The following is a 27837-nucleotide window of genomic DNA, read 5'->3' as shown; positions in this document are numbered from 1 at the left end:
GAGAATCGCTTGAACCTGGAAGCGGAGCTTGCAGTGAGCAGAGATTGCACCACTGCACTCCAACCTGGGCGACAGAGTGAGACTCTGTCTCAAAAAAAAAAGAAATAATTATTTAGTTTTACTTCATACCCCTCAACTGCACTTTTACAGACAACAGATGCAGAACCCTCCATGGGTCCTTGCTTGGAAGCAGTACATCCTGTGGAGGAAGATGCTGAGGTAGTTTTCTGTAGTTGCTGAAAAGAAGTTTATTGCTATTTTCTTATTTTATTATACAAAACTAGATTTGCTTAAAACATTTCCCAGTCTCTTTAAAGGAATGCTAGTTAGTGGGAGGCCACAGCTAGTAAATTACCCTCAGTAGTGGTTTCAAGTAGTCCATAACTATAAAAATCGTTACGGCCAGGATATGCCGGAACAGAACACTCCCCACTGGGGTCCTCAGCCTTGGATGTCAGCTCGGCCCCTCAAGGGGTCCCTACACCTGGAAGCTGATTCCACTCATCAGTCTCGAGCTGGGCGCATGTGGAGTTGATGTGGAGTTGTAGCTGACTGGCTGGTGGGGTCAGCCTGGCCTCCCAGTGTGGAGCATGGGCACCAGCCTCACTGCGTGGTCACCCTAGGGCATATGCTGCGGGCTGTTGTGGCATTCCTGTGGCCAGCCCAGAGGCAGGCAGGGGCTGTCTGGGGTTTGCCATGTGCACCATCACCTGGGCTTGGGGTGAGCTGGAGGAGCCACTGAGGCTTAGAGCTCTGGGGATCCCAGGGTCCTTGTCCACGCTGCGGGTCACACTGGCCAGCTTGCTGGTGCTCTCACCATGGTCTCTGTGGAGAGAGGAGGCATGAGTTGGCAAAAGAGTGTGGATAGGGTTTAATCCCCAACTCCATACCTTCCCAGGTACCCAGGCCCTCCAGTGGGCCTGGGGCAACTGCTGCCCTGAGCACTGGGGAGCCCGTTTCCTCCTGCTGGGAGCTGCCCTGCACCCTAAGGTGCACAGAGGTCACTCCATCTCCCTGCCGGGCCCTGTTGGCAAGTGGGTCCTTCATCTACACAACCAGGGCGTGGCCCAGGAGTCAGACACTTGCCCCCCTAAGGTGTGGGAAGGGACTTCCTGGGGCTCATTCAGAGTGTGCAGAAACCACCAGGAACCCAGCTGTCTGGCCAGGGCCTGGGATGTCCCAGGCAGAGAAGGGATGCTGGGGAGCAGGAGGTCAAGGGGAGGACATCTTCCCTCCTGCCAGGCCTGCCTCTTTGGTAGCCAGGAGCTGGATCACCCACCTGCTCCACCCTCAGTACTCTTGTGGCTCTCTACTCCCCCAGATACAAACCAAGCCATTCCCCAGGCTGACCAGACCCTGGCCCTGTCCCATCTCCAGCCTCCACACACACACTGGCCTCTGCTCCATGTGGGCTGCCTGGCGGCTCCCACCTCCAGCCCTTTGCATGTCCTCTCCTCCCCTCAGAGGCTGTCTCTCTCCCCTCCCAAAGCAGGCTCTCTTAGTCCTTTCACTTCCGGCATCACCTCTTCCAGGAAGCCTTCCTGGATCACGGCTCCCACCCACAACTAATTCTCAGAAAAACTCTAGTAAGTAGTAGGAATTAAGAAATGATCTGCTTATGCAATGAGTAAGTGAAAGCATCAATAACTGGTGGAGACGAAAGGCAGCTTCGGGGAGGCAGGAGCCAGACTGACTCCACCCAGCCTCACTTACTGGTTGTGTGGGAGTCTACACAAGTTTCTTAACCTGCCTAGTTCTTCACCTGGAAAACGGGATAAAAGTAGTACCCACCCCTAGGTGAAAAGAGTTAATATTTGGAAGAGTTCAGAACAGTGCCTGGCACATTGCAAGTGCTGAGAAGTACTTATGAAATAAAAACAAGGTCAAGAGGCAAACCTCACCTTGCTAAAGGCAATTTACCACCTATGGAGGCAGCCTGGGCCCTGCCTGAGGGGTGGGCAGCCCCAGCACAGGCATATCCCGAGGATCCTGCCTGGGAGCCCGGGGCCCAGGGCTGGGGACTCAGGGAACTCTGCCTCCATCGGCTTTGTAGCCCTGGGCAGGACCCGCCTTCTCTGAGTCCCCATGAAGCTGGGCTGAGTGCTCGAGGTCTCCATGTGTGAGAGAGCTCCGGGAAGGGGCTCTGCCCTAAGGGTCCCCCTCCCAATCCCCCTCAGCCTCACCACCACTTCCTGCCTCTTGAGCTGACTGTCAGAGTGGCCCCTAAGCCGGCCTCCTCCAGCCTCTCACGGCCCTGTCAGGGTGCCTCCCTCCCGCCCTGGCTCTCTCACTCCCCAGAGGGGGTGAACACAGCCCTGTACACAGATCTGTGGCCACTCTTGGACGGGACGCACACGTCCGACCACACACTGCACAAGTTCCCGCAGTGTAAGAGGCAGGGTCTGTGGCGCTGGGACCAGGCAGAAGTGTGGCCCCAAACAGCACCCCTGGGAGCCCCTCGGCATCATGCTCTGGCCAGCAAAGCCCCTGCGGCAGCGGCAGCAGCTGTGGCTGCCATCATCCTGGACACCATGTTGCCTTGAGAGGCAATTGTTCCTTCCCCCATTCCATGGGCACTTTCCCAGTTATGACACAGGATGATCTGGTCCCAGTGCTGTAATGGGGAGTGGGGATCACAGGTGGGGCAATGGAGGAGCTCTGAAAGTGGCTTTGGATATCTCACTACCCAAAAGGAAAGGCATTAGCCACCATGGCCCCAACAAAACTAAAATAAAAAGGAAAGGGGGTCAGGCACGGTGGCTCACGCCTGTAATCCCAGCACTTTGGGAGGCCGAGGTGGGCAGATCACGAGGTGAGGAGATCGAGACCATCCTGGCTAACACAGTGAAACCCTGTCTCTACTAAAAATACAAAAAATTAGCTGGGCATGGTGGCGGACACCTGTGGTCCCAGCTACTTGGGAGGCTGAGGCAGGAGAATGGTGTGAACCCGGGAGGCGGAGCTTGCAGTGAGCCGAGATCGCGCCACTGAACTCCAGCCTGGACGACAGAGCAAGACTCCGCCTCAAAAAAAAAAAAAAAAAAAAAAAAAGGAAAGAGGCCTAAAAAATGTACAGCCAATTGATGGGTCAGGTGCCCTCCCACAACACATGGAGCAAAACATTTGGAGGTAATTCAGCAGAGAAAACAGAAAATGACTCATGCCAGCAATGGCACTGGTGAGCCAAGGCTGGAGAAAACATTCTTCCTCGACATTCATCAAAGAAATGCTGACGGAAACTACCCACACAACTTGTAGCTACTGTAAGAAACAAATGATAAACAAATGGTCAGCACTCAGTGATGATGCAGTTACCAGAAAAATATGGCCACATTCACTTGTACCAGAGCTCCCAGGGAAAGAATGTGGTCATAAAATATTCAGACTGTTGGGCCTAAACAATCGATTCCTAGGATCAGCCCCAAGAGTTGTGGTCTTGAAAAAGAAAAACAGCACTAAGCAAAAAGACACTGACCACGCCTGACCACTCAACAGGGGAGGGTCTAGCAGATATTGGAAGCTTTGGAATAATGGGCTGCTGTAAGGAATGATAGCCTGGAGGCCTCAGACCACCATGGTGACCTGGAACGTGTTGCTAAGTGCAGAAGTATCAATGGCAGCATTTCGGCTACATCCTTGTTGATGTAATACACACTTGAAGCGTCAGGAAAGGAGACAGAAAGGTGAATTCCTTCCCTGCAGGTGTTGGCCAGACCCAGCACGGTGTGTGTAACCCAGGGCCACAGAGACCACCATCTCCTGTGCCTCAGTTTCCCCATCTGCATAAGGTCGTAAGAGTGGCAACGACAGTAACAGCCAGTATTCAATGAGCTCTCACCCTGGGCCTGGCGAGAGAGGCACACACCCGGACTCAGGTAACCTCAACAACTTGAAAGGGTGAGCGCTACTGCAATCCTCACTTTACAGGTGAGGAAACCGAGGCATGGAGCTGTTAGTCATACAGTGAGGCCATGAGGGCTGGGACCAAGTGCACTGCAGCCTCGAAAGACTCCAGCAGGAGGGCCTGAAGGAAGGGAACACAAGCTCAATGATGTCGTCTGGATGCCCGCCCAGACCCCGGTGTCTAAGCGCTGTTCTCCACCCACAGAAACAGGGCTCCCAGAGCAGTGGCCAACCGCAGAGATGGGCACAGAAAGCATGAGATGGGCCTGGAACATCTTGTGCAAGGCAGGAAGCACTCACAGACTGATGGGGATGGATCAGAAGGACACAGGCCATGGCTTGGCAGAGCTCCTACTGCCAAGAACTGGAGCCCACAAAAAGTGTGCTTGAAAATAATGTGGGGGAAGGGGCATGAATGAGGTTGCCTGGCTTAGCTGGTGACCATGAGAATGGGAGGCAGGGACAGGAGATCTGTGACAATATTCTACTTTTGTGTATTTGTGAACTTTTCCCAAAATAAAAGTTTCAGAAAAGAATATTCATGAGTTCATGTGATGCTAAAACAACAAAACAAAATCAAAAGAAAGGAAAGAAAAAAACAGCTCATCCTCATCCCTGATAGAAGGAATGTCAGAAGTGCAACAGAATTAACAAAGTCACCATTCTGTAATGCCCAAGGCAAGAGCGGATCTGGCAGGATCAGCCTTGCACGCTGAGACCACAAGTCAGAGGCCGCTGAGACAGTGGAGGGACACTTGCAGAGCCCCTTCCTCAGGCTCTGACAGTGGAGGGACCTGGGGGGCTTCGCCTCAGCCAAGAGACCCCATTCCATGTGGCCCGTGGGGGCAGCCTGGCCCATGTCTGTGATCTGCACATGTAGCCCTGCACCAGAAATGCAGAGCCGGGCCTGGTCACACAGAAACACCAGACAGACGCAGACAGGAGCCTCTGCATGCGACCACTGGCCTGGAACCCTCAGAAGACTATGCCATGAAAAACTGAAGGCCCATACCAGTTTAAGGAGCCCAGAGACCTGGTGGCTGAGTGCTGCGTGTGATTATGGACATTCTCCACTCAACAGGCCACGTGCAATCAATATTAGATTTCTGTTAGTTTTGTTTTTTTTTTTTTTTTTTTTTTGAGACGGAGTCTCGCTCTGTCGCCCAGGCTGGAGTGCGGTGGCACAACCTTGGCTCACTACAAGCTCCGCCTCCTGGGTTCAAGTGATTCTCCTGTCTCTGCCTCCCAAGTAGCTGGGATTAAAGGCACACTCCGCCACACCCAGGTAATGTTTGTGTTTTTAGTAGAGACGGGATTTCACCATGTTGGCCTCGAACTCCTGACCTCAGGTGATCCTCCCACCTCAGCCTCCCAAACTGCTGGGATTACAGGTGTGAGCCACCAAGCCTGGCCAATCAGTATTAAATTTCTGGACTCAGAAAAAGAATGTCCTTATATTGGTTCAGGGCAAAAAAATGTATGTGTGTATTAAGAGAGAGAGAAAGGAGAGGGACAGAGCACGGGAGGGAGAGCAAGTGACTGCAGCTCAGTGCAGAGCCCTGCTGGGTGTAGGTGGAGGGAACACAGGTGTGTAGAAGCTTCAGCTTCCCTGGAGGGTGGACCCTCCAGATGAAAACACTGCTGGGGGCAGTTCTGAGTCCTAGAATGTCAGAGTCAGGACAGAGTGCTACAAGGACCACCAGCCTCTTGTTTTAGAGATGGGAGTTAAGGTTCTGGGTGGGCTAGGCGTGTGGGAGCAGCAGGCTCTCAGCGTGTGGGAGCAGCAGGTGGCCCGGGGCCTGACCAAGCTGGACCCCTTGTCCCCCAGCATGTCCCCTACCCAGACCCGGGCTCACGTGGTGAAGCTGTGGTTGTCGTGCGCCTGGCTGGGCCCGCTCACGGGTTTGTTGAAGTGCTTGAGGCCAAGGTATGCGGCCTGCACCGTCTCCAAGTCCTCATCTTTCAGCTGGGACCACAGCTGGGCTGACCTGGAGGAGAGTTTGGGAGGAAGGACTCTGAGCATGCAGGTGTATCCCTGACGGTGGTGGAAACAGGCTCCATGTAGGCCCAGGGCACCGTCTGCAGGACCAGTGCAGGCTGGCAAACCTCTCAAAGAGCTGGGCAGTGGATGTTTTTGGTGTGGTGAGACACATGATTTCTCCCACAGCTAAACTCTGCAATTGCAGCCCAAAAGTAGCCACACACCAGTAGACAATGAACATGGCTGTGTTCCAATAAAACTTTACTTACAAATACAGGTGGTGGAAAGTTCTAGGGCTGGACAGTGCTAATGGCTGCACTACATCGTGAACATACTTAATGCTACTGAACTGTAGACGTTAAAAAGGTTAAGTTTTGGCCAGGCGCAGTGGCTCATGCCTGTAATCCCAGCACTTTGGGAGGCCGTGGCAGGTGGATCATGAGGTCAGGAGCTCGAGACCATCCTGGCTAACACGGTGAAACCCCGTCTGTACTAAAAATACAAAAAAAAATTAGCTGAGCATGGTGGCGGGCGCTTGTAGTCCCAGCTACTCGGGAGGCTGAGGCAGGAGAATGGCGTGATCCCAGGAGGTGGAGCTTGCAGTGAGCTGAGATGGAGCCACTGCACTCCAGCCTGGGCGACAGAGTGAGACTCCGTCTCAAAAAAAAAAAGGTTAAGTTTTATGTATTGATATTTTACCACAATAAAAAATAAAAACAAAAAATAATAATAAATTACCATGGGGAAAAAACCTGACAGACAGCCGGACTTCGCTGGTGGGCTGTGGTTAACCAGCCCTCCATCTGCAGTGACAGTGACTCCCTCTCAAGGTTTAGGGGGCGTGTGTGGCAGCCCTGCAGGCCGTTAACACAGCAGAGTACATACTGCATATGTGTGCAGGTTTAAGAATAAAACGGGCCGGGCGCGGTGGCTCACGCCTGTAATCCCAGCACTTTGGGAGGCAGATCACTGGGCGGATCACCAGAGGTCAGGAGTTTGAGACCAGCCTGGCCAATATGGTGAAACCCCATCTCCACTAAAAATACAAAAAATTAGCCGAGTGTGGTGGTACATACCTATAATCCCAGCTTCTAGGAAGGCTGAGGCAGGAGAATTGCTTTAACCCAGGAGGCGGAGGTTGCAGTGAGCTGAGATCACGCTACTGTACTCTGTCGCCTGGGTGACAGAGCAAGACTCCGTCTCAAAAAAAATAAATAAATAAAATAATCCCCCGTGAACCCATAGCCTGGCCTAAGAGCAGGGCCTTGGGGGCCCACATGTCCCCCAGCTGTGATGCTGCCCCTGGCTGCTGCGTGGGCCGGGAGCAGCACTTGGGGGGGAGACGCAGGCCCAGAGCAGCAGTGGTAGGAACGGGTGCCCTGAGGGCAGTGCCGGGGTTCCCTTGAAACACTCTGTCCTTTCCTCCTCCCATGGTGCCAAGAGGCGCCTCCCGGGAGGACCCTGAGATCATGAGGCCACCGTACCTGTTGGAGCGCCGCCGCTTGCTCTTCTTCACGCACTTGAGGAGGCAGCAGGTGAGGAAGGCCATGGACATGAGCAGGATGATGGCACAGCTCACAATGGAGGCGATCACGGCCACCTTGAAGCCAAAGGTCTCGTGTGGTGGCACCACTGTGTGGGAGACAACCACCAGCTCCTGGGCGAGGTTTGCCCAGATTTGCTTGGCCCAGGGGTTGGGGGTCTCAGGGGTGGTACGGGTAGGGCCTGGGTGTAGACAGGGCCTGGGCAGCCCTCAGTGAGCCCTGTTTGCATGGTAAGGGGGCAGTGAGGTGCTGGGGGCTGAGGCAAAGATCTGTGCAAACTATATTTGGAGGTGGGACTATCAGAGAAGACTCTCCCCAAGAAGCAGGTTATTTGAGCAGGGTGTGTAGGAGTATGCAGAGTGGCTATTTAAAGGGGGTATTTAAGCAGGGTTTTCCAGGGTGTGTAGGAGTGTGCAGAGTGGCTAACTGAAGAGGGTATTTGAGCAGGGTTTTGTAGGGTATGTAGAAGTCTGCAGAGTGGTCAATTACAGAAGTTCTGGCAGGGAGTTCAGAGTGATGGCCTCCTTGGCTCCTACCCACTGAAGTCCTGCCTGAGGAATGAAGGAAGGGTGGGCCACAGAGAGGAGGTGACAATAGACAGTACTGAGGAGGCCTTGCCCAGCCCATGGTCTGGGTTTTCACAATGCCCCAAGGTGGCAACATTCTTCAGGGGGCCTACATGCCTTCTCAGGTCACTTTCCAGGAAGGTCCAAAATACTATGTATCTGCTGTGTGACCTCAGCTATGCTCCAAAAACTAGTTCCATCAGATTCTACTGGATGTTCTGGCTAAAAAAGGCCTCGGAATCCTAATTTGAGCAACACCGTTTACTCCCCCACGTAGAGAACATGGCCCTGTCCCCTGCCCCATTTCCCATGCTCCCTAGTGGATCCTGGCCACCCAAAATGGAGACTACATTTCCCAGTGGTCACAGGACCATGTTCTGGCCAGTGGAAGATAAGAAGTGATGTGGGGCAACTTCTAAGAACCTTCCCTGAGACACTGGGGCCTGCTCTTTGGCCCCAGGGCCCCTCACCCCATAACAGCTGCCTGGAACATAGCTGCTGCCATCTTGAATCATGAGGCTGAGGCCATGCCCAGCAGAGCCATGCCAGGGAAGGGGCCTGGCTCCCACTGCCATGGAGCCTATACAGATCTGCCTGCCCACCCTGAAGGTTGAGCTCCATCATAGTTAATCCTAGTATTTTGGGTTTTCTGCCTTTCAGAATCTAATCCTAACACTCGCATCCTCAGAGAATCACCTAGCACGTGAACATTTTAAAGGCTCTGAGAAGTTCTGCAGCATAAAAACCCAGAATCTGCCAAACTATTTTGACTCTGAGCCCTTTTTATGCACAAAACACATGAACATAACACACATAGCTTCATTTTGGAAATGTCATGCTGGGCACTGAAAAGGGACTATCTTGTGGACCTTTCAACACCTGTACAAGAAATACAACCAGAAAACCATTGCCTCCCACAGACTGGGAGCTCCAGGGCCAGGCACGTTATGACCTTCCGTGTTGCCAGTACTTAAGATTCCTGATACGTGAAATATCCTATTAAAGTTGGCCATGTGCACCTGTACATGAATGAATGAATGAATGAATGAATGAATGAACAAACATAGTTTCCTGCTTAACAGATGAAAACGTGCTGGCTCAGAGAGCATGCACAGCCTCTTGGCGGTGAGGGGCTGAGTCGGTAGCAGAGCCAGGATTGGAGGCCCGCTACTAGGTTTTCGGTCCGTGCTGCCAACATGGCACTGGGAGGGCTGAGGGCCTACAGCCGGCTGCTGACATGTAAGCAAGCTGTCAGTGTTGGGAATGGGACCCTACACACTGGCCTAGCTGCTTGTGAGTAGACACCCACGCCATCCCCACCCACACCATCCCCATGACAGGATTTGGGGCCATCCCCCACCCCCAGAGCCACCGAGCTGAGAGAGGGGTCCTTACGTTTGCACACTGGGGACCCTGAAGACCACTCAGCGATGCTCCCCTTCCAGGTGCAGGTGAGGAGCCCAGACCCCACCATCTGGTGGTTGGAGGGGCAGCGGAACATGAGCACGGTCCCCACGGAAGCACCATTGCCACGAAGGACTTGGAAGGTTGCTTGCGGGGGTAGCCGCAGCTTAGCGCACGTGCCTGGGGAGACAGGCAGGTATGAGGCATGGCGGGGGGGGGGGGGTGGGCACGCAGGGCAGGGCTGGGCAGGACCCTGGAGTGAGGAGCTGGCACAGCATTGGGGAGCACAGGGGTGGGGTGCAGCTCCAAAGGCCATTGGATGCTCTAGAGGTCACATGGGGTCATCCAGACCGGGGGACAACGCAGAGCTGGATCCCTCCATGAAGTACACTCTAGATGTTGAGGATTGGAGCATTAAAAAAAGAAATAAGTGTTAGAAGACAATAAAAGCAAACATACCTTCCCTGAGACACTGAGGCATGGCCTTTGATTATGACCTAAACACGGCTCCAAAGGCAGAAATCAGAACAAAAAAAAAAAAAAAAAAAAAAAGAGGGACAGAGAGAGATCAGCAGATTTGACTGCATACAAAGCAGAAAGCAAAAGCTTCTGAGGCTCCCTAATAATGGAAAACAACCAACTCAGGTGAAAAATTCGGGAAAGGATATTTGGAAAGCATAGGTCAAAGGTTGGTTCGGTAGTCTTAATCTATGAAGAGGTCTTACACATCAATGAAAACTGAATATTCAGTTTAAAAAAAACCAACAAGTTCTAATGTGTGAACAAGCAATTCACAAGGATACCAGTGGCCCACAGTCATGAAAAATGCAGACCCACAGGCAATTGAGGAAATGTTGATTCAAGGGAGAGCTCATTTTTCCTGCGTCGGTGAGGTAAAGGCAAAAAGAAAACAATGTGCAAGTTGGCAGGGCCTGGGAAGCCCTGTACCCGGGCTGGGGTACAGATCCAACCTTTCTGCAGAGCATTTGGTAAATGCAATAAGCACCCTATGTTGCATATGAACCTTTAGCCACAGGAAATAAGAATCTGCTGGCCAGGCATGGTGGCTCATGCTTGTAATCCCAGCACTTTGGGAGGCCGAGGCAGGTGGATCATGAGGTCGGGGATTGAGACCATCCTGGCCAACATGGTGAAACCCCATCTCTACTAAAAATACAAAAATTAGCTGGGCATGGTGGCATGTGCCTGTAATTCCAGCTACTCAGGAGGCTGAGGCAGGAGAATCGATTGAACCAGGGAGTCAGAGGTTGCAGTGAGCCAAGATCACTGCACTCCAGCCTGGCAACAGAGTGAGACTGCATCTCAAAAAAAAAAAAAAAAAAAAAAGAATCTGCTGCCAAGATTTCTCTATGGGGAAGCCCACCTCAGAACCATACATAATAGTGAAAGGCTGAAACAACCCACGCCTCCAGCAGGAGGGAATGATTCCCTTACCCAGGGCCATCCAGACATTAAAATACCAGAGAGCACTTACAGTGATGTTCTTTTTTTTTTTTTTTTTTTTTTTTTTTGAGTCAGAGTCTTGCCCTGTCGCCCAGGCTGGAGTGTGCAATGGCGTGATCTCAGCTCACAGCAACCTCCACCTCCTGGGTTCAAGCAATTCTCCTGCCTCACCCTCCCGAGTAGCTGGGATTACAGGCATGTGCGACCACACCTGGCTGATTTTTTGTATTTTTAGTAGAGACGGGGTTTCACCATGTTGGCCATGATGACCTCGTGATCCGGCCGCCTTGGCCTCCCAAAGTGCTGGGATTACAGACGTGAGCCACCACACCCGGCCAGTGATGTTCTTAAATAAGGACACAGAGATGCTCTGGATGCAACAGCAATCAAGAATTTTTATAAAATTATAACGACAACAGCTGGGACTGAGAAGATTACTGTGGCTGGATGCCATTGCACCTGCCTTACATGTGCCATCATCTATCGGCATAGCAGCCTACCCAGGGAGAACCATCATTATCCCCATCGACAGATGAGCAAACTGGGCAGAGGGTCTTACCACACTTTTTGCAGTCACACGGCTCTTATGCTGCAGGGAAGACTCAGAACCAGACAAGGAGGCTCTGGTCTAACTTCACACACGTTCATACACACACAGACACACACACAAAATGCATCTGAGTCGTTGTGCTATGCATATATCAGCAGCTGGTTACTTTTCACAGCAGTGAAGTGTTCCATTGTGCAGATGGGCCTCAGTGTGTGTCCCTGTTCCCTGCATCTGAGTTGTCTCTGGGGTTCAAGGACGTTCAGTGAAACTGCTAAGGACATCCCCAAGCAGGTCTCCTGGTGTCCAAATCCAGGAGGCTCTTCCTCCTGCTTATCTGGTATTTCCTGATTTTTGGGCATTGACAGTGGACCGCTGGTGCATCACAGGTAAAGAACAGGGACAGGACGGGCACGGTGGCTCACGCCTGTAATCCCAGCACTTTGGGAGGCCGAGGCGGGCGGATCACGAGGGCAGGAGATTGAGACCATCCTGGCTAACACGGTGAAACCCCGTCTTTACTAAAAATAGAAAAATAATTAGCCAGGTGTGGTGGCGGGCGCCTGAAGTCCCAGCTACTTGGGAGGCTGAGGCAGGAGAATGGTGTGAACCCAGGAGGCAGAGCTTGCAGTGAGCCGAGATTGCACCACTGCACTCCAGCCTGGGCGACAGAGCGAGACTCCGTCTCAAAAAAAAAAAAAAAAAAAAGAACAGGGACAGCAGGCCGTGCTGATGCATGGTGTGTGCAGAGGCAGAGACTGACCGGAGGCAGCAGTGGTGAAGGGCCACCTGAGCATCTCTGTGCCTGTCTCCCTCGGCACAGGCAGGGACTGACACCCAGAGATGGGGGTGATGGCAGGGACAAAAACTGGGGCATGCAGAGTCTGAGGGACCCCATTATTCCACACTGACCTGCTACGACCTTCCTCTGTCCTCTGTGTGCTACATCTCCAGCCAGGACCATGCCCTGGGTGCCAGGAATGGAAGTCCTACTGCCCACCGAGCCTGAGATGAGACATAGCCAAGCTTCTGAGCTCCCCAAACCTGCTCACCATGTAGCTTCTCCTCTTATAACTTTAATTTAAATCAGCAGTCCCTCCATCCTTCAGTTGCTTGGGCCCTAAACCTTGAAACCTACTTTCTCAATCCACAACCAATTGGCCAGCAAACTCTGTGGACTCTAATTTTAAAATGTTTACCAAAGACATCTGCGGTAGGCTGCATACCATCCCCCAGATTTATTCACATCTGCCCAGGAGCAGTCACGTGGGCTGGCTGTGTGCCCAGGCAAGGTCTTTATCTGCGAGACATATCACTCCATTTCTTACCCCACATCTCAATTCACAAGCCCATCTGGGGGGAAACTGAGGCTCAGAGAGGTCACACCACCCCTTGCCCCAGCCATGTGTGCCACGGCTATTAATGGGCATCAGCAGAGCTGGGCTTCAGGCCAGGCTCCGAAGTCTGGTCTGGGATCTGGCAAAAGTGGAGGCTACCAGAGGCTCTGTGCCATGGTAGTGACAGTGAAGGATGGCATTTGGCTGCAGCTGGCCAGGTCACATTGACCCACTCCCCAGCAGCACCCAGTGGTCCCCCTGCCCCTGGCCTCTGCATGACTGAGGACCCCAGGGCCTTAACAAGCTGAGATGCTGAGGGCGAGAGTGCAGAGGCAGGGGTGGCCCTCAGGAGGGGTTGAGGCAGACATGCCCCACCGCTTTGGGAGGGTCAGGCTACACTGCTTCTGCCTTGAGGATACTTGCTAGCAAGGGAAGAGGGGTGGGAGGGGCTTATGGTTTGTGTACTTTTCTGGGAGGGATGGGGGAGGGACTGATCTAACACAGACAACACTGGGGGCCTAATGGGTGCTGTACTGCATTATAGCCCTATGAGGAGGGTGGTCTACCCCTACCTTACAGATGGGGAAACTGAGGCACAGCAAAGCTCAATGGCATGCCCAAGGTCACTCAGTGGGAAGGTGGTAGGGATGGAACTGAGACCCAGCACACTGTTTCGGGAGCCCCACCTGATGGCCAAGCCCAGTGGGTGGAATCTGCCCCATCTCACCTCATCCTGGGCAGCTGCAACTCTAGTTCCCACCCCTGGCTGCGGTTGCCTCTAGTATCCCTTCTCCCCATCCCAGAGTTGCAGCTGGAAATGTGATCACCACTGAAAACTACATTTCCCAACCTGCCCTCCAGGGAGCAGTCACGTGACTGAACCTGGCCAATGAGGTGTGAGCATAGATGCTGTGTCACTTCTGCATTGGGGAGTGTGATGGTTAATATTGAGTGTCAACTTGATTGAATTGAAGGACGCAATGTATCGTCACTGGGTGTGTCTGTGAGGGTGTTGCCAAAGGAGATTAACATTTGCGTCGGTGGACTGGGAGAAGCAGACCCACCCTTAATCTGGTGGGCACCATCTAATCAGCTGCCAGTGAGGCTAGAATAAAAGCAGGCAGAGGAACGTGGAAGGACTAGATTGGCTGAATCTTCTGACCTTCATCTTTCTCCCATGCTGGATGCTTCCTGCCTTTGAACATCAGACTCCAAGTTCTTCAGCTTTTGGATTCTTGGACTTACACCAGTGGCTTGCCAACGGCTGTCGGGCCTTCTGCCACAGACTGAAGGCTGCACTGTCTTCCCTACTTTTGAGGTTTTAGGACTCAGACTGGCTTCCTTGCTCCTTAGCTTGCAGGCAGCCTATTGTGGGACTTCACCTTGTTATCGTGTGAGTCAATACTCCTTAATAAACTCCCCTTTATATATACATCTATGCTATTAGTCCAGTCCCTCTAGAGAACCCTGACTAATACAGGGAGCAAAGATGGTAGACATGTGAAAGGACAGACCAACCTCTCGGATCCTAAGAAGAGACAGCAATAAACTCCAGCTGGAGTTAGGCCACTGTTTTCTTGTGGATTTGTTAAGTGGACTGGCTCAAATCTGATACAAAGCTTCAGCAACACGTCTCAGCCCAGTGCCCTATTTAGCGCTTGGGATTCTGGCTGGTCCACTTGGGGCCCCAAGGTGACAATAACAAAAGTAGGAATATCAGCAACAATAATAATAGAAGGAAGAATAATGCCCAGGCTCTACTCTGTGCTGAGCGCTTCAGCAGCTGTTGGGTGACAGTACAGAAACGAACACACGGGTTCCAGCCTGTGGGGCTCCTAGTCCACCTCCACCACACACATTTGGGGGCCCAGGCAAGGGAGCCTGCCCCGGCCTCAAAGTCAGCACAGCTGTTGTGCCCACCTTGGACTGGGGTGCTGAGGAAATGAGGTGTAATGCCAAGGCATCTGGAAGGTGGTTGTGCCTGGTACACATGAGGGCAGGAGCCATGATGTCCTTGGAAGAACTGTCTCCCCCATTCTGCAGCCCCAGAAACCATGGCTCAGGGACACTGAGGTCACACAGCCAGTTTGTGGTTCCGCCAGGGTCAACCGCAGGCACCTGGCTCTTTATCCCCGGGCTGCCCCCATCCTTTCTGCCCCTTCAGTATCTGGGGAAGGCCAGCCTCTGGCCTGGGCAGGGCCATTCTGACTGCTCCCTGTCTATGGATCCTCAGCATTTGCACAGCCACTAACAATAACAATGCATGTATGGATAGAATATTCTGTTCAAGAGCACCCCACATTCTTTATCTGTATTATTACAGATAAGGCTCAGAGAGGTGGATTCACCTGCCCAAATGCCCACTGATAGCAGGGAGGGAGCCACCACTAGATGCGGTGTCTAAGATTCTTATATTTGTAACATATATGTAATAGGAGATTTGTATCTTCTCTACATAAACAGCACTTATATATTAATAAGCCAATGACAAAAATCACAGCAAAATGTGTAAGTTAGAAAAGAAAAACAAATGGCTCGGCCAGGCATGGTGGCTCATGCCTGTAATCCCAGCACTTTGGGAGGCCGAGGCAGGTGGATCACTTGAGGTCAGGAGTTCAAGACCAGCCTGGCCAACATGGTGAAACCCTATCTGTACTAAAATCAAAAATTAACCGGGTGTGGGTGGCACATGTCTGTAATCCCAGCTACTTGGGAGGCTGAGGCAGGAGAATCGCCTGATCCCAGGAAGCAGAGGTTGCAGTGAGCCAAAATCGTACCACTGCACTCCAGCCTGGGCAACAAAGTGAGACTCCATCTCAAAAAAAAAGAAAAAAAAAAGGAAGAAGTAAAACAATCTCCATTAGATGACATGATTTCGTATATATGTAGAAAAGCCTCAGAAATCCACTAAAAGCTATTATAAATAGAAATTAGTTCAGCAAGGTTGTAGAATACCAGGTCAACATACAGAAGTCAATGTATTTCTGTACAGTAGCAGTGAGCAAATTGAAAATTAAGAAAAACATTTTATACAACAGCATCAAAAAGAATAAATTAGTTATAAATTTAATAACAGAAGTGCAAAACACATACTCTGAAAACTACAAAACGTTGTTGAAAGAAATTAAAGACCTAAATAAATGGGAAAACATCCTATGCTCATGGATCAGAAGACTTAATATTGTTACGATGGCAACATATTATGGTAGTCCGTCCTTATCCTTGTTTTCACTTTCCATGGTTTCAGTTACCGGTGGTTCCACAATCAGAAAATAGTACCTCACAACAGTTGTGTTTTGGGCCATTATTAAGTGAAATGAGAGTTGCCTGAACACAAGCACTGCAGTATCAGGGGGTCTGATAACCCAGAGGGCTACTAAGTGACTGACAGCAATCCCAGGCGGGGTGGAGCGGGATGGGTGAGATTTCATCACAACACTCAGAGTGGCTCACAGTGTAAAACTTACAAATTATCTCTGGAATTTCCCATTCCATCACAAGGCCTATGTTTTTCATCTCACTTCATCTCATCATGTAGGCATTTTATCATCTCACATCATCGCAAGAAGGGTGAGTACCGTCTATTAAGATATTTAGAGAGAGAGAGACCACATTCACATTACTCTTATTATAATATATTGTTATAATTGGTATAACTTATTACTGGTTATCATTAATCTTTCACTCTGTTCAATTTATAAATTAAACTTATCATAGGTACATGTGTTTAGGGAAAAAACAACATATATAGTATCTGAAGTTTCAGGCATGCACTGAGGGGTCCTGGAATGTATCCCCCTTGGATACATTGTATCTACTATATTCACTGTATCTACTGTATTCATTGAATCTACTGTATTCTCCAAACTGATATACAGATTCAACAAAATCTCTATCAGAATCCAGCTGCTTTCTTTCCAGAAATCAACAAGCTGATCTTAAAGCTCATATGGAAATGCAAAAGACCTAGAATAGCCAAAACACTCTTGAAAAAGAACAAAGTTGGAGAGTTCACACTTGCCAATTTCAAAATGTATTACAAAGCTAGAGTAATCAAAACAGTGTGGTACTATCATGAGGACAGACATAAAGGCCAACAGAATAGAACTGAGAGTGCAGAGGTAAACCCTTACATTTATAGTCAAATGATTTTCAACAAGGGTACCAAGACAATTCAATGGGAAAGGAATAGTTTTTCAACAAACTGATGCTGGGACAACTGAAGCTGGACCCCTAGCTCATACCATATGCTAAAATTAACATGAATCAAAGACCTAAAAGTAAGAGCTAAAACTATGAAACTCTTAGAAGAAAACATAGGGAAAATCTTTGTAAACTTAGGCAATGGTTTCTTAGATCTAACACCAAAGACAAACACCAAAAGAAAAATAAAAACAGGACTTCATCAAAATGAAAAATGTTTGTGCTTTAAAGGACATTCAATAAAGTGAAAAGACAACTTACCAATAGGGAGAAAATACTTGCAAATCATGTATCTGATAAGAGGCATGTGTCTAGAACATATAAAGAATTATTACAATTCAATTAGAAGACAACAAAATTGAAAAATGGCCAAAGGATCTGAACAGACATTTCTCTGAAAAAGATAAGTTAGCAGCCAATAAGCACAAGAAGATTCTCAAAATTATTAACCTTCAGGGAAATACAAATCAAAACCACAAGGAAGTCTGTCAAAAAGATAGGCAATACCAATAGCTGGCTGGGCGCAGTGGCTCACGCCTGTAATCCCAGGACTTTGGGAGGCCGAGGTGGCTGGATCACTTGAGGTTAGGAGTTTGAGACCACCCTGGCCAACAGGGTGAAACTCTGTCTCGACTAAAACTACAAAAATTAGCCAGGCGTAGTGGTGGGCCCCTGTAATCCCAGCTACTTGAGAGGCTGAGGCAGGAGTATCACTTGAACCTGGGAGGCGGAGGTTGCAGTCAGCCGAGATCAGGCTACCGCACTCCAGCCTGGGACAGAGCAAGACTTCGTTTCAAGAAAAAAAAAAAAAAAAGACAGACAATACGAAGTGTTAGGAAAAATGTGGAGAAACTGGCACCTCAGAAGCTACTAGTTTGGGAACAGAATGGTGCAACAGCTTTGGAAAACTGTCCGGTGGTTTTTCACACAGTTAAGCACAGAATTACCACATGATCCAGTAATTCCACTGCTAGGTAATCAGCCAAGAGAAATGAAAATACCTGTCTACACAAAAATGGGTACACGAATGTTCACAGCAGCATTATTTGTAATGGCCAGAGAGCTGAAACACCTAAATGTCTGTCAACCAATAAGTGAATAAACAAAATGTGGTTTATCCACACCACAGAGTACTATTAAATCATCAAAAGGCATGAAGTGCTGATCCATGTTACAACATGGATAAACCTTGAAAACACTGTGTTAAGTGAAAGAAGTCAGACACAAAAGGTCACATGTCATATGATGACACTCATATGAAATGTCCAGAACAGGCAAATCCAGAGACAGAAAGCAGATTAGTGGCTGTCAGAAGCTGGGGGAAAGGGAAAACTGGGAGATGGCTGCTAAGGGGTATGGGATCTTCTTATGCAGTGATTAAAAACATTATAAAATTGACTGGAGTGGCTGGGTATGGTGGCTCACACCTGTAATCCCAGCACTTTGGGAGGCCAAGGCGGTCAGATCACCTGAGGTCAGGAGTTCCAGACCAGCCTGGCCAACACGGTGAAACCCCATCTCTACTAAGAATACAAAAATTAGCTGGGTGTGGTGGTGCACGCCTGTAATCCAGCTACTCAGGAGGCTGAGGCAGGGGAATCGCTTGAACCCGGGAGGCGGAGGTTGCAGTGAGCCAAGATTGTGCCACTGCACTCCAGCCAGGGCAACAGAGTGACTCCGTCTCAAAAAATAAAATAAAATAAAATAAAATTGACTGGAGTGATGGTAGCACATATCTGTGAATGTACAAAAGCTACTGAGTTCTATGATTTAAAAAGGTAAATTGTATGGTATGTGAATTATGGCCCAGTAAAGCTGTTTAAAAAATCAGGGGGAAAATATGTCAATTAAAGAAATACACATTTAAAACTGAAGATACTTGGCCGAGCACGGTGGCTCATACCTGTAATCCCAGCACTTTGGGAGGCTGAGGCAGGCGGATCATGAGGTCAGCAGTTTGAGACCCGCCTGACCAATATGGTGAAAACCTGTCTCTACTAAAAATACAAAAATTAGCTGGGCGTGGTGGCGTGCGCCTGTAGTTCCAGCTACTCAAGAGGCTGAGACAGAAGAATCCCTTGAACCTGGGAGGTGGAGGTTGCAGTGAACTGAGATCATGCCACTGCACTCCAACATGGGCGACAGAGGGAGACTCCATCTCCAAAAAAAGAAAAAGCAACTGAAGATACTTTTTTTGCTTCTTATCTCTGTCAGGGTTAAAAAGATCAGCCCTTCAGATTGAGGAGGCTGCAGAGGAGGGGTGCACAATTTCTAGGGGCGGTACACAGAGTGGGGAGGGCCTGAGGAGCTGCCCTGCCCTTCAGGGGGATGGAGGGCATGGTGGGCAGGACTGAGATCAGCAGGAGGCAGAACCTCCCAGGGATGCTGGGCGGATGACAGCTGACGCTGAGCATACCTGTGTGCCAGGTACAGCTCTAACCCCTGGCCTGGGCTATTTCCTATAACCCTGGGCTGACTCTCGCTGGCCTTGGGTCACCTAGCTCCCAGTGGCACAGCTAGGACTTGAATTCTGTCTCCAGGGTTGGGCTCTCCGTCAACTACCAAGCTCCATATCTGGAGACATCAGTGCAGGAATGAGTGAATGAATGAATGCAAGAACAAAGGAATGGAGGACTGGCAGCCTCACCTCACAGGCAAGAGTCGTGATCAGCACTCCCCAAGGGCCAGGGACCACTTTGCTTTTTCAGGATCTTGGGATCTGTATATGCACTGTCCTTCTGGCCAAGGAGGTGGCTATGGGATTCTGGAGCCCTGGCAGACACAGCAGGGCAGCCACGGGCTGGCCACGTGGCCCCCTCCCCAGGGCCGCCAGGCAGCCAACACTTCCCAGTCCTTAATTTAGAGCTGCGACTTCTGCATTCCTCTGTGGCTTCCCAGCCCACTGCGGCCCTTGCAGAGAGGAGGCCCCACCAGCCAGAGGTTTGGGAGTAGCCGTTGGCGGATGGGAGGAGAGGTTGGCGAGGGTGAGTGTGTCCAGCACCCACAACAGCGCCTGGTTGAGTGTCTGCCCAGTGAGAGGATGAATGGATGAACGTGAATTCATTCTTTAAAAATAAAACTAGAACTTCATTAGAATAATGAGATGCCTGGAGGGGTGGACCAAGGGATGGAGACAGATGTGAGAAAGCAGGCACAGCGAAATGCGAAGGGTGGAATCAAGCTGGTGCGTGTCCAGGCATAAAATTCTTTCAACTCTGCTGCACGTTCAAAAGAAAAATGCTGGCGGAAGACCTTGAGCATCCCCACTGCTGACATGTAACTGATCCCCTGGGCACATCCCCTTCCCACCCACCAGGGTCCCAGGGAAGGGGTGGCCATACCACTCCCCATCCAGGACCCAGACATTTAACCACTGCTGAGCGGTCTGGGCACTGGGCTGATCCCTAGGACTTATTCTACTGAGACTGTGTGTCACCGCGGGGACATAGCTTTCTCTCAAACAAGACGGATGTGACCGCCAGGGCCTCCCATGCACTCAAGGCAGCCAGGACCAGCTCTGGAGCCAGAGGACCTGGGTTTGAGGGTAGGCCCGGCCTTTCCAGAAGACCCCAGTCACTTCTCCACCCTGGGCCTGTGTCTCCACCTACAAATACCACAACAGGCAGGGTGGGGCGAGGACTGGATGAAATGATGATCATCCCAGCAAGGCCACCTCCACAGCTGACTTCCTCTAAGTGTGTTTTAGAAGGAGCAGCTCCTCCCCCTGCCCGCCCGTGTGTTGTGCTGAGCCCTGTGGGGAGCTCATGACTAGCCATGTCTGAGGTTGACCAGTCGGCTCTCACCTAGCTATGTCTGAGGTCGACCAAGGTCTTGTCTTGGTTCACACTTCATCTGCCAAAAGCCACATCCTGTGTTCTCAGCCGCCAGGTTCTGCTATAGTGAGGGCTCTTGTCCTCAGACAGCAACTGCAGGTGGTGGATTACATGTCACAGTGACAGGCATCAACAGCAGGCAAGCTGTTCCCAGCATCCCCTTCCCAGCATCCCCAGAGCCTGTCCTGCCTGCATCATTGAGCCTCACAGACGTGGGGGATAAAGGGTGAAGTCGGCTGGGTGCGGTGGCTCACGCCTGTACTCCCAGCACTTTGGGAGGCCAAGGTGGGCAGATCACAAGGTCAGGAGATCAAGACCATCCTGGCCAACATGGTGAAACCCTGTCTCTATTAAAAATACAAAAAGTAGCTAGGCGTGGCGGTGTGCACCTGTAGTCCCAGCTACTTAGGAGGCTGAGGCAGGAGAATTGCTTGAACCAGGAGGCAGAAGCCGCAGTGAGCCAAGATCACGGCACTGTACTCTAGCCTGGTTGACAAAGTGAGACTCTGTCTCAAAAAAAAAGGTGAAGTCACCACCCACAACCAAAGAAAGGGGACCAGCCAGCGAGGTAACACTGACCTACAAGAAGTCCGGGATGCGCCGTCAAATTAAAAACTCAAATAAAAGTATAGAACGATTTGGAATACAAGCCCAGTAAAACTGATGCCAGCCCAACTGTCCATGAGCAGAGAAGGATGGTGCCTGGTGGGGCTGGGGGGCCTTAAACGCAGTCCTGGCCTCAGACCCTGCATTTGTAGCCAGCTGACCAGAAGAAGGGTCTCATGCCCAGGTCCTAATGTAAGTGCACTGCTGGAATGGCTTTCCTTTATAAGTCAAGCAGAGGGTCTGGGGGAAGTAACTGGTAGGAGGGAGGGTAGGGTGAGTCCTTGCTCAAGGCTCACAGCCCTGACCTGCCTCCTCAGGGTGGCCAAGAGGTCCAACCTCCTTTAAGCCCTCAGCCAAGGGGGCACAGGGAGGCAAAGTCATGTTCCTGTGGCCTCTCTTGCTGCAGGGGCCACAGAAAGAGAAGCCACTGACCGGCAATGCCCCCTCTTAGCCCCCAGTTGGGTGGGCAGGCTTCCTGGAGGGCTAACCAGTAGGTTCCTGGGGTCTGATCCTGACAAGACCCATCCCAGCAGCAGGTCTTGGACCTGAATTTCTCACCTGGCTCAGCCTCAACTTCCCCGTCTGCAAAACTGGTGACTTGCCCGCCTGGGGTCTGGGAAGAGCAGGACTGCCCTATGGAGATCTTGGAGCAGGATCTGGTGCACAGGATCACTCCCTAGGTCAGGGCTTGAGCAGCCCAGGACATGAGCCCTACTGGGGCCCTGGGCCTCAATCCCCAAGGTCCATGGAACACAGGGAAACTTCAGCCCTTAGCCCTTGATCCCCAAGGTCTGCAGCATACAGGGGACCTTCAACCCTCCAGGCCCCAGTGGGGTCTCCTGTACTCCTTTCCTGAGCCTGGGAGGCCAGGAAACACTTTCTCTGGGCTGGCTCCATTTTCCAGATGAGGAAACTGAGGCCCACAAACCTGCCCAAGGCCCCTGGCTGCATGATGGCAGTGCCAAGAGTAGGAGGCTGGACTCCTGTCCCCTTGGGGTAGCCCTTTCCATAGGATTCACAGCGAACTCACAGCCAGGATTCCGTAGGATTCACAGCGAACTCACAGCCAGGATGGGGCAGGCAGGCAGCACAGTGCCAGGAGCTATGGTCTACAAAGTCTCTACCTGCACCCAACTCCCAGGGACATTCCAAGAAATCACCAAGGCATGAGGATGGAGCTGGTGGATCACCCTTGTCTCTAACCACCGCACAGCCAAGTCCTGCTCACACAGAGACTCCCGGACTCCCAGGGGACCCAGGGCCACCCCTCACTGACCTCCTGAGCCCCTCCCCATGCCTGATGCATGAGAGGCAGATCCCATCTGTCCCCTGTCCCCTCCCCTGCTTCAAATACTCATGAACTCCCAGCTGCCTGCAGATGGCCCTCCTGTGCCTCACCCCTGCAGAGGACCCCACACCCCAGCTGTCTTTGAGGATGTCTGTTCCCTAAAGCTGGAGGCAGAGGCCTTGCCTCTCTGGATCCGTCCTGCCCTCCAGCCCCATCCTACCCACCTGCTGTTCCCCAGCCCATGGTTGTGGCTGCCCTTGGTCTGCCAGCCTAGTGCTGGGGCATTTCTTACCTGGCACCCTTTAGATCCCTTTGCATGTAAATCTTAAAGAAGAGGGAAAAACAACAGAAAACGGATTTGATGCAAACAAGATACAAAATAAAAACACACGAGGCCCTGCCTGGCCCTCCCACGGCTCAGGGGCAGGTGGAGAGGACCAATGGGTACCTCAGGGCCACACCTGTGTGATGCCTGAGCGGCCCTCAGCCCACATGCCGCGCCTGCGCCTCTGCCTGGCCACCTGCTGCAGCTGCGCTTCCTCCCTCCCTGGCCTTATGTACGGAGGGGGCCAAGCCTGACCGGGTGGATTCTCATCCTCCCAGCCTGTGAGGCCAGCCGGGCGTCTGAGAACAATCCGTACTTGTTAATCTTTTATCTGGAACCTTGGACCTCAGGTCGGCCCCTCCATCCTCCCTCCTGGGATTCGCCACACAGCCCCTATAACCTGACCTCGCCTGCTGTGGGATTAAGTAACTATGTTCCCTTTTATGCTGGCTGAGGCTGTGGGAGAGAGTGACAGAGGCAGGCTGCTGAACCCAGTCTCACCTAGACTCGATCCCCACCTGCCAGTGAGTCCCTGTGTGACCTCAATCTGGGTCTCAGTTCCCCCAAATGTGAAACAGGAACCTTCAGGAGGAATTTCTCAGAGTTTAAAGGGGGTGACTTTTGCACACAGAGGTGCTTTGAGAACAGGACCCCCAAGACCCTGGCAGTGGGGACAGGCCTGGCCCCAACACTACATGTGGGTGTCCCACAGCCCTGGCTGTGTGTCTTCAGGTAAGTCACTTGCCCTCTCTGAGCCCATCTCCACATGGAGGGTGAGCACAGGCTTCAGAGCCACTTCTGCCTTCCATCTCCAGGCTGAGCAGCAGGGTGGCCTCAGGATGTGGAAAGCACACAATCCTCCATAAAAGAGCTGGGCTAATTCCAAATGAGGAACATGTACTCCCACATCCCTGGTGGAAAACCGAGGGTCCGGGAACCTATGCCTTCTACCAGCAGCTCTTTCGATGCCAATGGGTGGCAGGAGGCCATAGCCAGGCATCACAGGGTGTGTCTGCCTTGCTTTGATTTACACATGCATTCACGGGGTCTCAGTTTCTCCTCTGTAAAATGGACACAGTCCAGTTCTGGGGCAGGAGTTCAGGGGTGAAGCCAAGAAGGCACCAGCAGAGCATGCCTCCTGCTACCCCCTCTCCAGGCCCTTCCTCCAAGGCCCTTCCACGGATGCCAGGGGGGTTACCTACAGCCACTGGAACCCTGCTTTCCTGGACAATCTCCCAGATCAGGGAGTGCTGGGGCTGACCTGGGAGCAGGGCCAGGGGCCAGTCATACAACAAACATGATAAACTCCTACTCTGAGCTAGTCTCCCCCGCGCCCTGCCCTTCTCCCAGGGCGCTCATGGGAGATGAGGGAAGACCACTTCCTGCCTCTCAGGAAGATCAGTCTGTCCACACTACTGTGCTCTTCATATCTACTCTAGGAAAACCAGTGGTAATGGCCCCATTTTAAAGATGGTGGGAAAAACACACATCCCCGTGCTATGTTTTTGGTTTTTGTTTTGTTTTGAGACAGAATCTCGCTCTGTTGCCCAGGGTGGAGTGCAGTGAGGTGATCACAGCTCACTGTAGCCTCGAACTCTGGACGAAAGCAATCCTTCCACCTTTCAGCCTCCCGAATAGCTGGGACTACAGGCGCATGCCACCATGCTCAGCTAATTTTTTTTTTGCATTTTTTGTAGATACGGGGTCTTGCTATGTTACCCAGGTTGGTTTCGAGCTCCTGGACTCAAGCAATCCGCCCACCTCAGCCTCCCAAAGTGTGGGATTAGAGGCATGAGCCACCACTCCTGGTCAGTGGTGTTTTAGTGTCAAATCCTCTCCAAAGGCTCCCAACCCCCCAGCCTCTAACTTCACAGCACATTTCACAGAGCAAGAAACTGAGGTCACATGGCAGGGGAGTGATGGAGTCCAGATGATGGCATCATCCCTGCACCAGAACAAGTACCCTCCCTGGGCTCCACTGGGCCTGTCCACAAGCTTGGGGGCAGGTATACAGTGGGGAAACTGGGGCACATGGGGAAACTGAGGCACAGAGGTACAGCGACTCACCCCAGGTCACAGGGGGGATCCTAACCCAAAACTCCAACAAGGGGGCCAGTGCCTGGGAAGTGGTCATGGTGGTCAGAGGCAGAGCCAGGGCCAGGCAGGATGAACAAGAGCACAGGGTGCCAGACTAAGCTCCATTCCCAGCACAAATTCCAAGGCAAACAGCCTTTTGTATGCAAATATGCCAGAGCCTCCAGATACTCCCTGGCCTTGGGCTGACCTTGGGCAAGTCAAGGCTATCCAAAGGGCACTGGCACCCACGCCCCCAGGCTGTTGTGCCAGTAGAAGGGGCTCCTCAGGTAGTACCAGGCCCTGGGCAGGCCTTGCTCAAACACAGGAGCAAAAGTGCTCATCACCCCAACACCAAATTAGGGACTCTGGACATTAGGCTGCCAGAGTCAAACTAAATAAACCAAATCCACCAGCGCCAGGAACAAGTCTCAGCGCCCACTTTGCTGAGCTGCGGACCTCTGCTCGGTGAATTAGCTCCCTGAGCCGCAGTTTCCCCAACTGTGAGAGGAAGCCATTCTCCTGCCACCTTCCTGCCAGTTCCCTGGGGCTGCAGGCTGACAGTGTGACCTGGTCCAGCCCACCCCACTCCGGGCCTCAGCTTCCTCCTGCGCAGAGCCTTAGCCCCGCAACGCCTGAGACGCCCAGAACCCTCAGGCCTAACGTTCGTGGGCAGTGGCCGCGGAAGTAAGCTTTTGGGATATCTGAGACCCAGAGTTCCGGTTTGGTTCCGTTTCTAAAAGGGTTAGACTTTAGAATCATTCAAGGAGCAAGGCCAGCATTCGAACCCCGGAGCCTTGGGCACGGGAGCAGACAACTCTTTAAGCACATTCTTGAATTCAAACACTTAAAAGTAAAATAAAAAGCAGCTTCTCTTCCTTCCAAAGGCCTCTGAGCCTCCTCCGAGACAGCCGAGGCGATCCCAAGCCTGGCTACAGGGTGACCTCGGACAGCCACTCCCCTCTCGCAGGCTCAGTTTCTCCATCTGTAAAGTGGAGCTGCGCTGGTCACCAAGGAATCGTGAAGATGACACCTCCCTCAGGCGCAGAGAGGGCTCCCGGCTCCCCCCTCCCGCCCCCGCGCCACCCGCCCGCCAGGTGAGGCCGGTTTCGACTTCCCCGGGAGGGGCGCGGAGGGGCCCGGAGCCTGCGGCGTGGAGAGGCTTGGCCGGCCGCGCTGTCCGCAGACGCCCGGGACCAAGGCGCTGCGGCCACTCGGGAACGGGCGCGCGGGCTGCTGCGTGCAGCCGCCTGGTTTCGAACTGCTCGCTGCCAGGCTTCGGCTCCGCTAGGGCGCCTGCTGGGCCGGCGGAGGGTCGAGGAGGTTCGTCCTCGGGGCAGATCGTTGCTGTGGCCCCCACCCACGGCTGTGCGGCCCCGCGACCCCCTCCCCTCGGCTTTCCCGTCTGTGAAATGGGCGCAGAGCCCCGCACGCGGCCACTCGGCCCCAGCCCTCACCTGTGCGGTTCCCTGGGGCAGGCGTGGTGACCCCGGCCCGCCCCCGGGGCCTCGCCTTGCCACGGAGGGTGGCGGCCGCCCAGCGCATCCTGCGCGCTCCGAGGCGCTTGGCGGGGTCTGCCAGGGGAGTGAGCCCGGCTTGTGGGGGCGGGGCCTGGGCCTGGGCCTGGGTGAGGGGCGGGGAGGCCCCGCCCTCCACGCCCGCCCAGGGGCGGTTCCATGCAACTTACAGACCACGCCCACACGTTGGACTGGGGCCGAGGTCCGGCCGGGGGCTGTGGGCGGGGGCCCTTGGGGAGACCAAATACCCAGCGGGCCAAGGCAGCCGGCTGAGCGGAAAGTGTTGCTACTCCGGGGCGTTGCACGCGTGGCTACCTCTGCCCAACACCCTTCCCCCATCCCTTCCTGTTCTCACCTTCACTCCTAGTGTGGTTTTTCCATGTGCTTCTGTGTTTTTATTTTTTGAGCAGGATTTTGCCTTCTCAGGGTGCCGGATTCGGCCGGTACCAAAGGGCAAACAGCAAAACGCCTCCCCGGCCCGCCCCTCCCGTAACCCACTCACCCCCAGAGTCCTGTGTGGACCCAGCCTTCTTTCCCTGTCTCTCACTGGGCCAGGCCGTCTGAGGCACACTGAGGTCTGGGTGCCCTTGTTGTCTTCGGTTCTCACTGAGGGGCCCCCGGCTGGGGGAAACAGGATGGAAAGCCCTGGGGTCTGTCTGCAGGGCCCACCACACCTGGAGGCCTCCCTTCTCCTGGCTTCCCCTTCCCACCCAGCTCCACTTGCAGCAGGCCCAGAGCTGTGATCCGGGCTCTTTCTCTCCCTCTGACCCCACCCAACCCAGGCTTAGCCCCCTGCCCAGGCAGCCACCAAAGGGTTGGGTGTGGTGTCAGGCCTCAGACATCCTGGATCTTGGGCTGCTTGTGGGAGACCACCTGAGCCATGCCTATTCCTGTGGAGCTGGCAAAGGCAATCCTGGCAGAGGGAACAGCAGGTGCAAAGGCCCTGGTTTGGCAATGTGTGGCAGCAGAAGCCCAGTGCGGCTGGCTTAGGCATGCCTCCAGGAGCGCAGAAGGTGGCCCAGGTGGGCCAGGCTGGCTCTAGAGTGCCTGGCAGGTGACCGTGAAGAGTGTGGATGTTCAGGTGGACCATGAAGCAGGGTTCCAGCAGGGCAGCCCCTCCCCGTCTCTGCTTTCCGAGCCCTCCAAAGCTGAGGTTCAGTGTGAAACGTGAGGGGCCCTCCCCCTTTCGCCATCAGGGTTGGCGTCACCCCTGATATGTTCTTCCCACTTGGACTTGTGGGTCACA

At 52.7% G+C, this 27837-nt stretch overlaps 1 protein-coding gene across 13 annotated transcripts, besides 11 other annotated features; it reads right to left on the bottom strand.

Annotated features, from left to right (window-relative positions):
* Positions 1–228: 228 nt before the first annotated feature.
* Positions 229–26661, bottom strand: SUSD3 (sushi domain containing 3). Of its 13 annotated transcripts, none has more exons than XM_011518358.2 (8): positions 21947–23001; positions 20753–20875; positions 17211–17260; positions 16214–16327; positions 9390–9578; positions 7369–7516; positions 5760–5891; positions 229–825 (listed from the first exon to the last, which is right to left on the bottom strand). In XM_011518358.2, exons 4-8 carry the CDS (start codon positions 16260–16262, stop codon positions 615–617), a joined length of 729 nt encoding a protein of 242 aa, XP_011516660.1. In that variant the 5' UTR covers positions 16263–16327; positions 17211–17260; positions 20753–20875; positions 21947–23001; the 3' UTR covers positions 229–614. The 13 variants fall into 13 exon arrangements, with proteins under 13 accessions (XP_011516660.1, XP_047278898.1, XP_047278897.1 ...); XM_047422942.1 differs by having other exon boundaries at positions 22419–23001; XM_047422941.1 differs by having other exon boundaries at positions 22969–23001.
* Positions 2207–2835: an enhancer, noted in NCBI's record as "H3K27ac-H3K4me1 hESC enhancer chr9:95844809-95845437 (GRCh37/hg19 assembly coordinates)". NCBI's record gives its function as "activates a minimal SCP1, AML or CMV promoter by ChIP-STARR-seq in naive H9 embryonic stem cells {active_cell/tissue: H9 hESC(naive)}" and the evidence as "EXISTENCE:reporter gene assay evidence [ECO:0000049][PMID:30033119]".
* Positions 13501–13795: an enhancer, noted in NCBI's record as "tiled region #12079; HepG2 Activating non-DNase unmatched - State 13:Ctcf, and K562 Activating DNase matched - State 5:Enh". NCBI's record gives its function as "activates a minimal TATA promoter and a strong SV40 promoter by Sharpr-MPRA in HepG2 and K562 cells {active_cell/tissue: HepG2 | K562}" and the evidence as "EXISTENCE:reporter gene assay evidence [ECO:0000049][PMID:27701403]".
* Positions 20673–20742: an enhancer, noted in NCBI's record as "active region_28611". NCBI's record gives its function as "activates an Ori minimal core promoter by ATAC-STARR-seq in GM12878 lymphoblastoid cells {active_cell/tissue: GM12878}" and the evidence as "EXISTENCE:reporter gene assay evidence [ECO:0000049][PMID:35858748]".
* Positions 20773–20982: an enhancer, noted in NCBI's record as "active region_28610". NCBI's record gives its function as "activates an Ori minimal core promoter by ATAC-STARR-seq in GM12878 lymphoblastoid cells {active_cell/tissue: GM12878}" and the evidence as "EXISTENCE:reporter gene assay evidence [ECO:0000049][PMID:35858748]".
* Positions 22529–23096: an enhancer, noted in NCBI's record as "H3K4me1 hESC enhancer chr9:95824548-95825115 (GRCh37/hg19 assembly coordinates)". NCBI's record gives its function as "activates a minimal SCP1, AML or CMV promoter by ChIP-STARR-seq in naive H9 embryonic stem cells {active_cell/tissue: H9 hESC(naive)}" and the evidence as "EXISTENCE:reporter gene assay evidence [ECO:0000049][PMID:30033119]".
* Positions 24487–24536: an enhancer, noted in NCBI's record as "active region_28609". NCBI's record gives its function as "activates an Ori minimal core promoter by ATAC-STARR-seq in GM12878 lymphoblastoid cells {active_cell/tissue: GM12878}" and the evidence as "EXISTENCE:reporter gene assay evidence [ECO:0000049][PMID:35858748]".
* Positions 24605–25585: an enhancer, noted in NCBI's record as "H3K4me1 hESC enhancer chr9:95822059-95823039 (GRCh37/hg19 assembly coordinates)". NCBI's record gives its function as "activates a minimal SCP1, AML or CMV promoter by ChIP-STARR-seq in naive H9 embryonic stem cells {active_cell/tissue: H9 hESC(naive)}" and the evidence as "EXISTENCE:reporter gene assay evidence [ECO:0000049][PMID:30033119]".
* Positions 25586–26566: an enhancer, noted in NCBI's record as "H3K27ac-H3K4me1 hESC enhancer chr9:95821078-95822058 (GRCh37/hg19 assembly coordinates)". NCBI's record gives its function as "activates a minimal SCP1, AML or CMV promoter by ChIP-STARR-seq in naive H9 embryonic stem cells {active_cell/tissue: H9 hESC(naive)}" and the evidence as "EXISTENCE:reporter gene assay evidence [ECO:0000049][PMID:30033119]".
* Positions 25586–26946: a biological region, named in NCBI's record as "H3K27ac-H3K4me1 hESC enhancer GRCh37_chr9:95821078-95822058".
* Positions 26077–26486: a silencer, noted in NCBI's record as "silent region_20036". NCBI's record gives its function as "represses an Ori minimal core promoter by ATAC-STARR-seq in GM12878 lymphoblastoid cells {active_cell/tissue: GM12878}" and the evidence as "EXISTENCE:reporter gene assay evidence [ECO:0000049][PMID:35858748]".
* Positions 26497–26946: a silencer, noted in NCBI's record as "silent region_20035". NCBI's record gives its function as "represses an Ori minimal core promoter by ATAC-STARR-seq in GM12878 lymphoblastoid cells {active_cell/tissue: GM12878}" and the evidence as "EXISTENCE:reporter gene assay evidence [ECO:0000049][PMID:35858748]".

This window comes from Homo sapiens, chromosome 9, assembly GCF_000001405.40.
Source record: "Homo sapiens chromosome 9, GRCh38.p14 Primary Assembly".
Lineage (NCBI taxonomy): Eukaryota > Metazoa > Chordata > Mammalia > Primates > Hominidae > Homo > Homo sapiens.
Note: the sequence above shows the minus strand (reverse complement) of the source record. Positions and strands in the feature narration are given on the sequence as shown.

Coding starts and splice junctions, on each gene's coding strand:
- SUSD3 (NM_145006.4), bottom strand. CDS start 26,619: ATGCGCTGGGCGGCCGCCACCCTCCGTGGCAAGGCGAGGCCCCGGGGG. Junction 9,579..26,531: donor TGCCCCAGGGAACCGCACAG/GTGAGGGCTGGG, acceptor CTGTCTCCCCAG/GCACGTGCGCTAAGCTGCGG. Junction 5,892..7,368: donor AAGCGGCGGCGCTCCAACAG/GTACGGTGGCCT, acceptor ACTCTCCTCCAG/GTCAGCCCAGCTGTGGTCCC.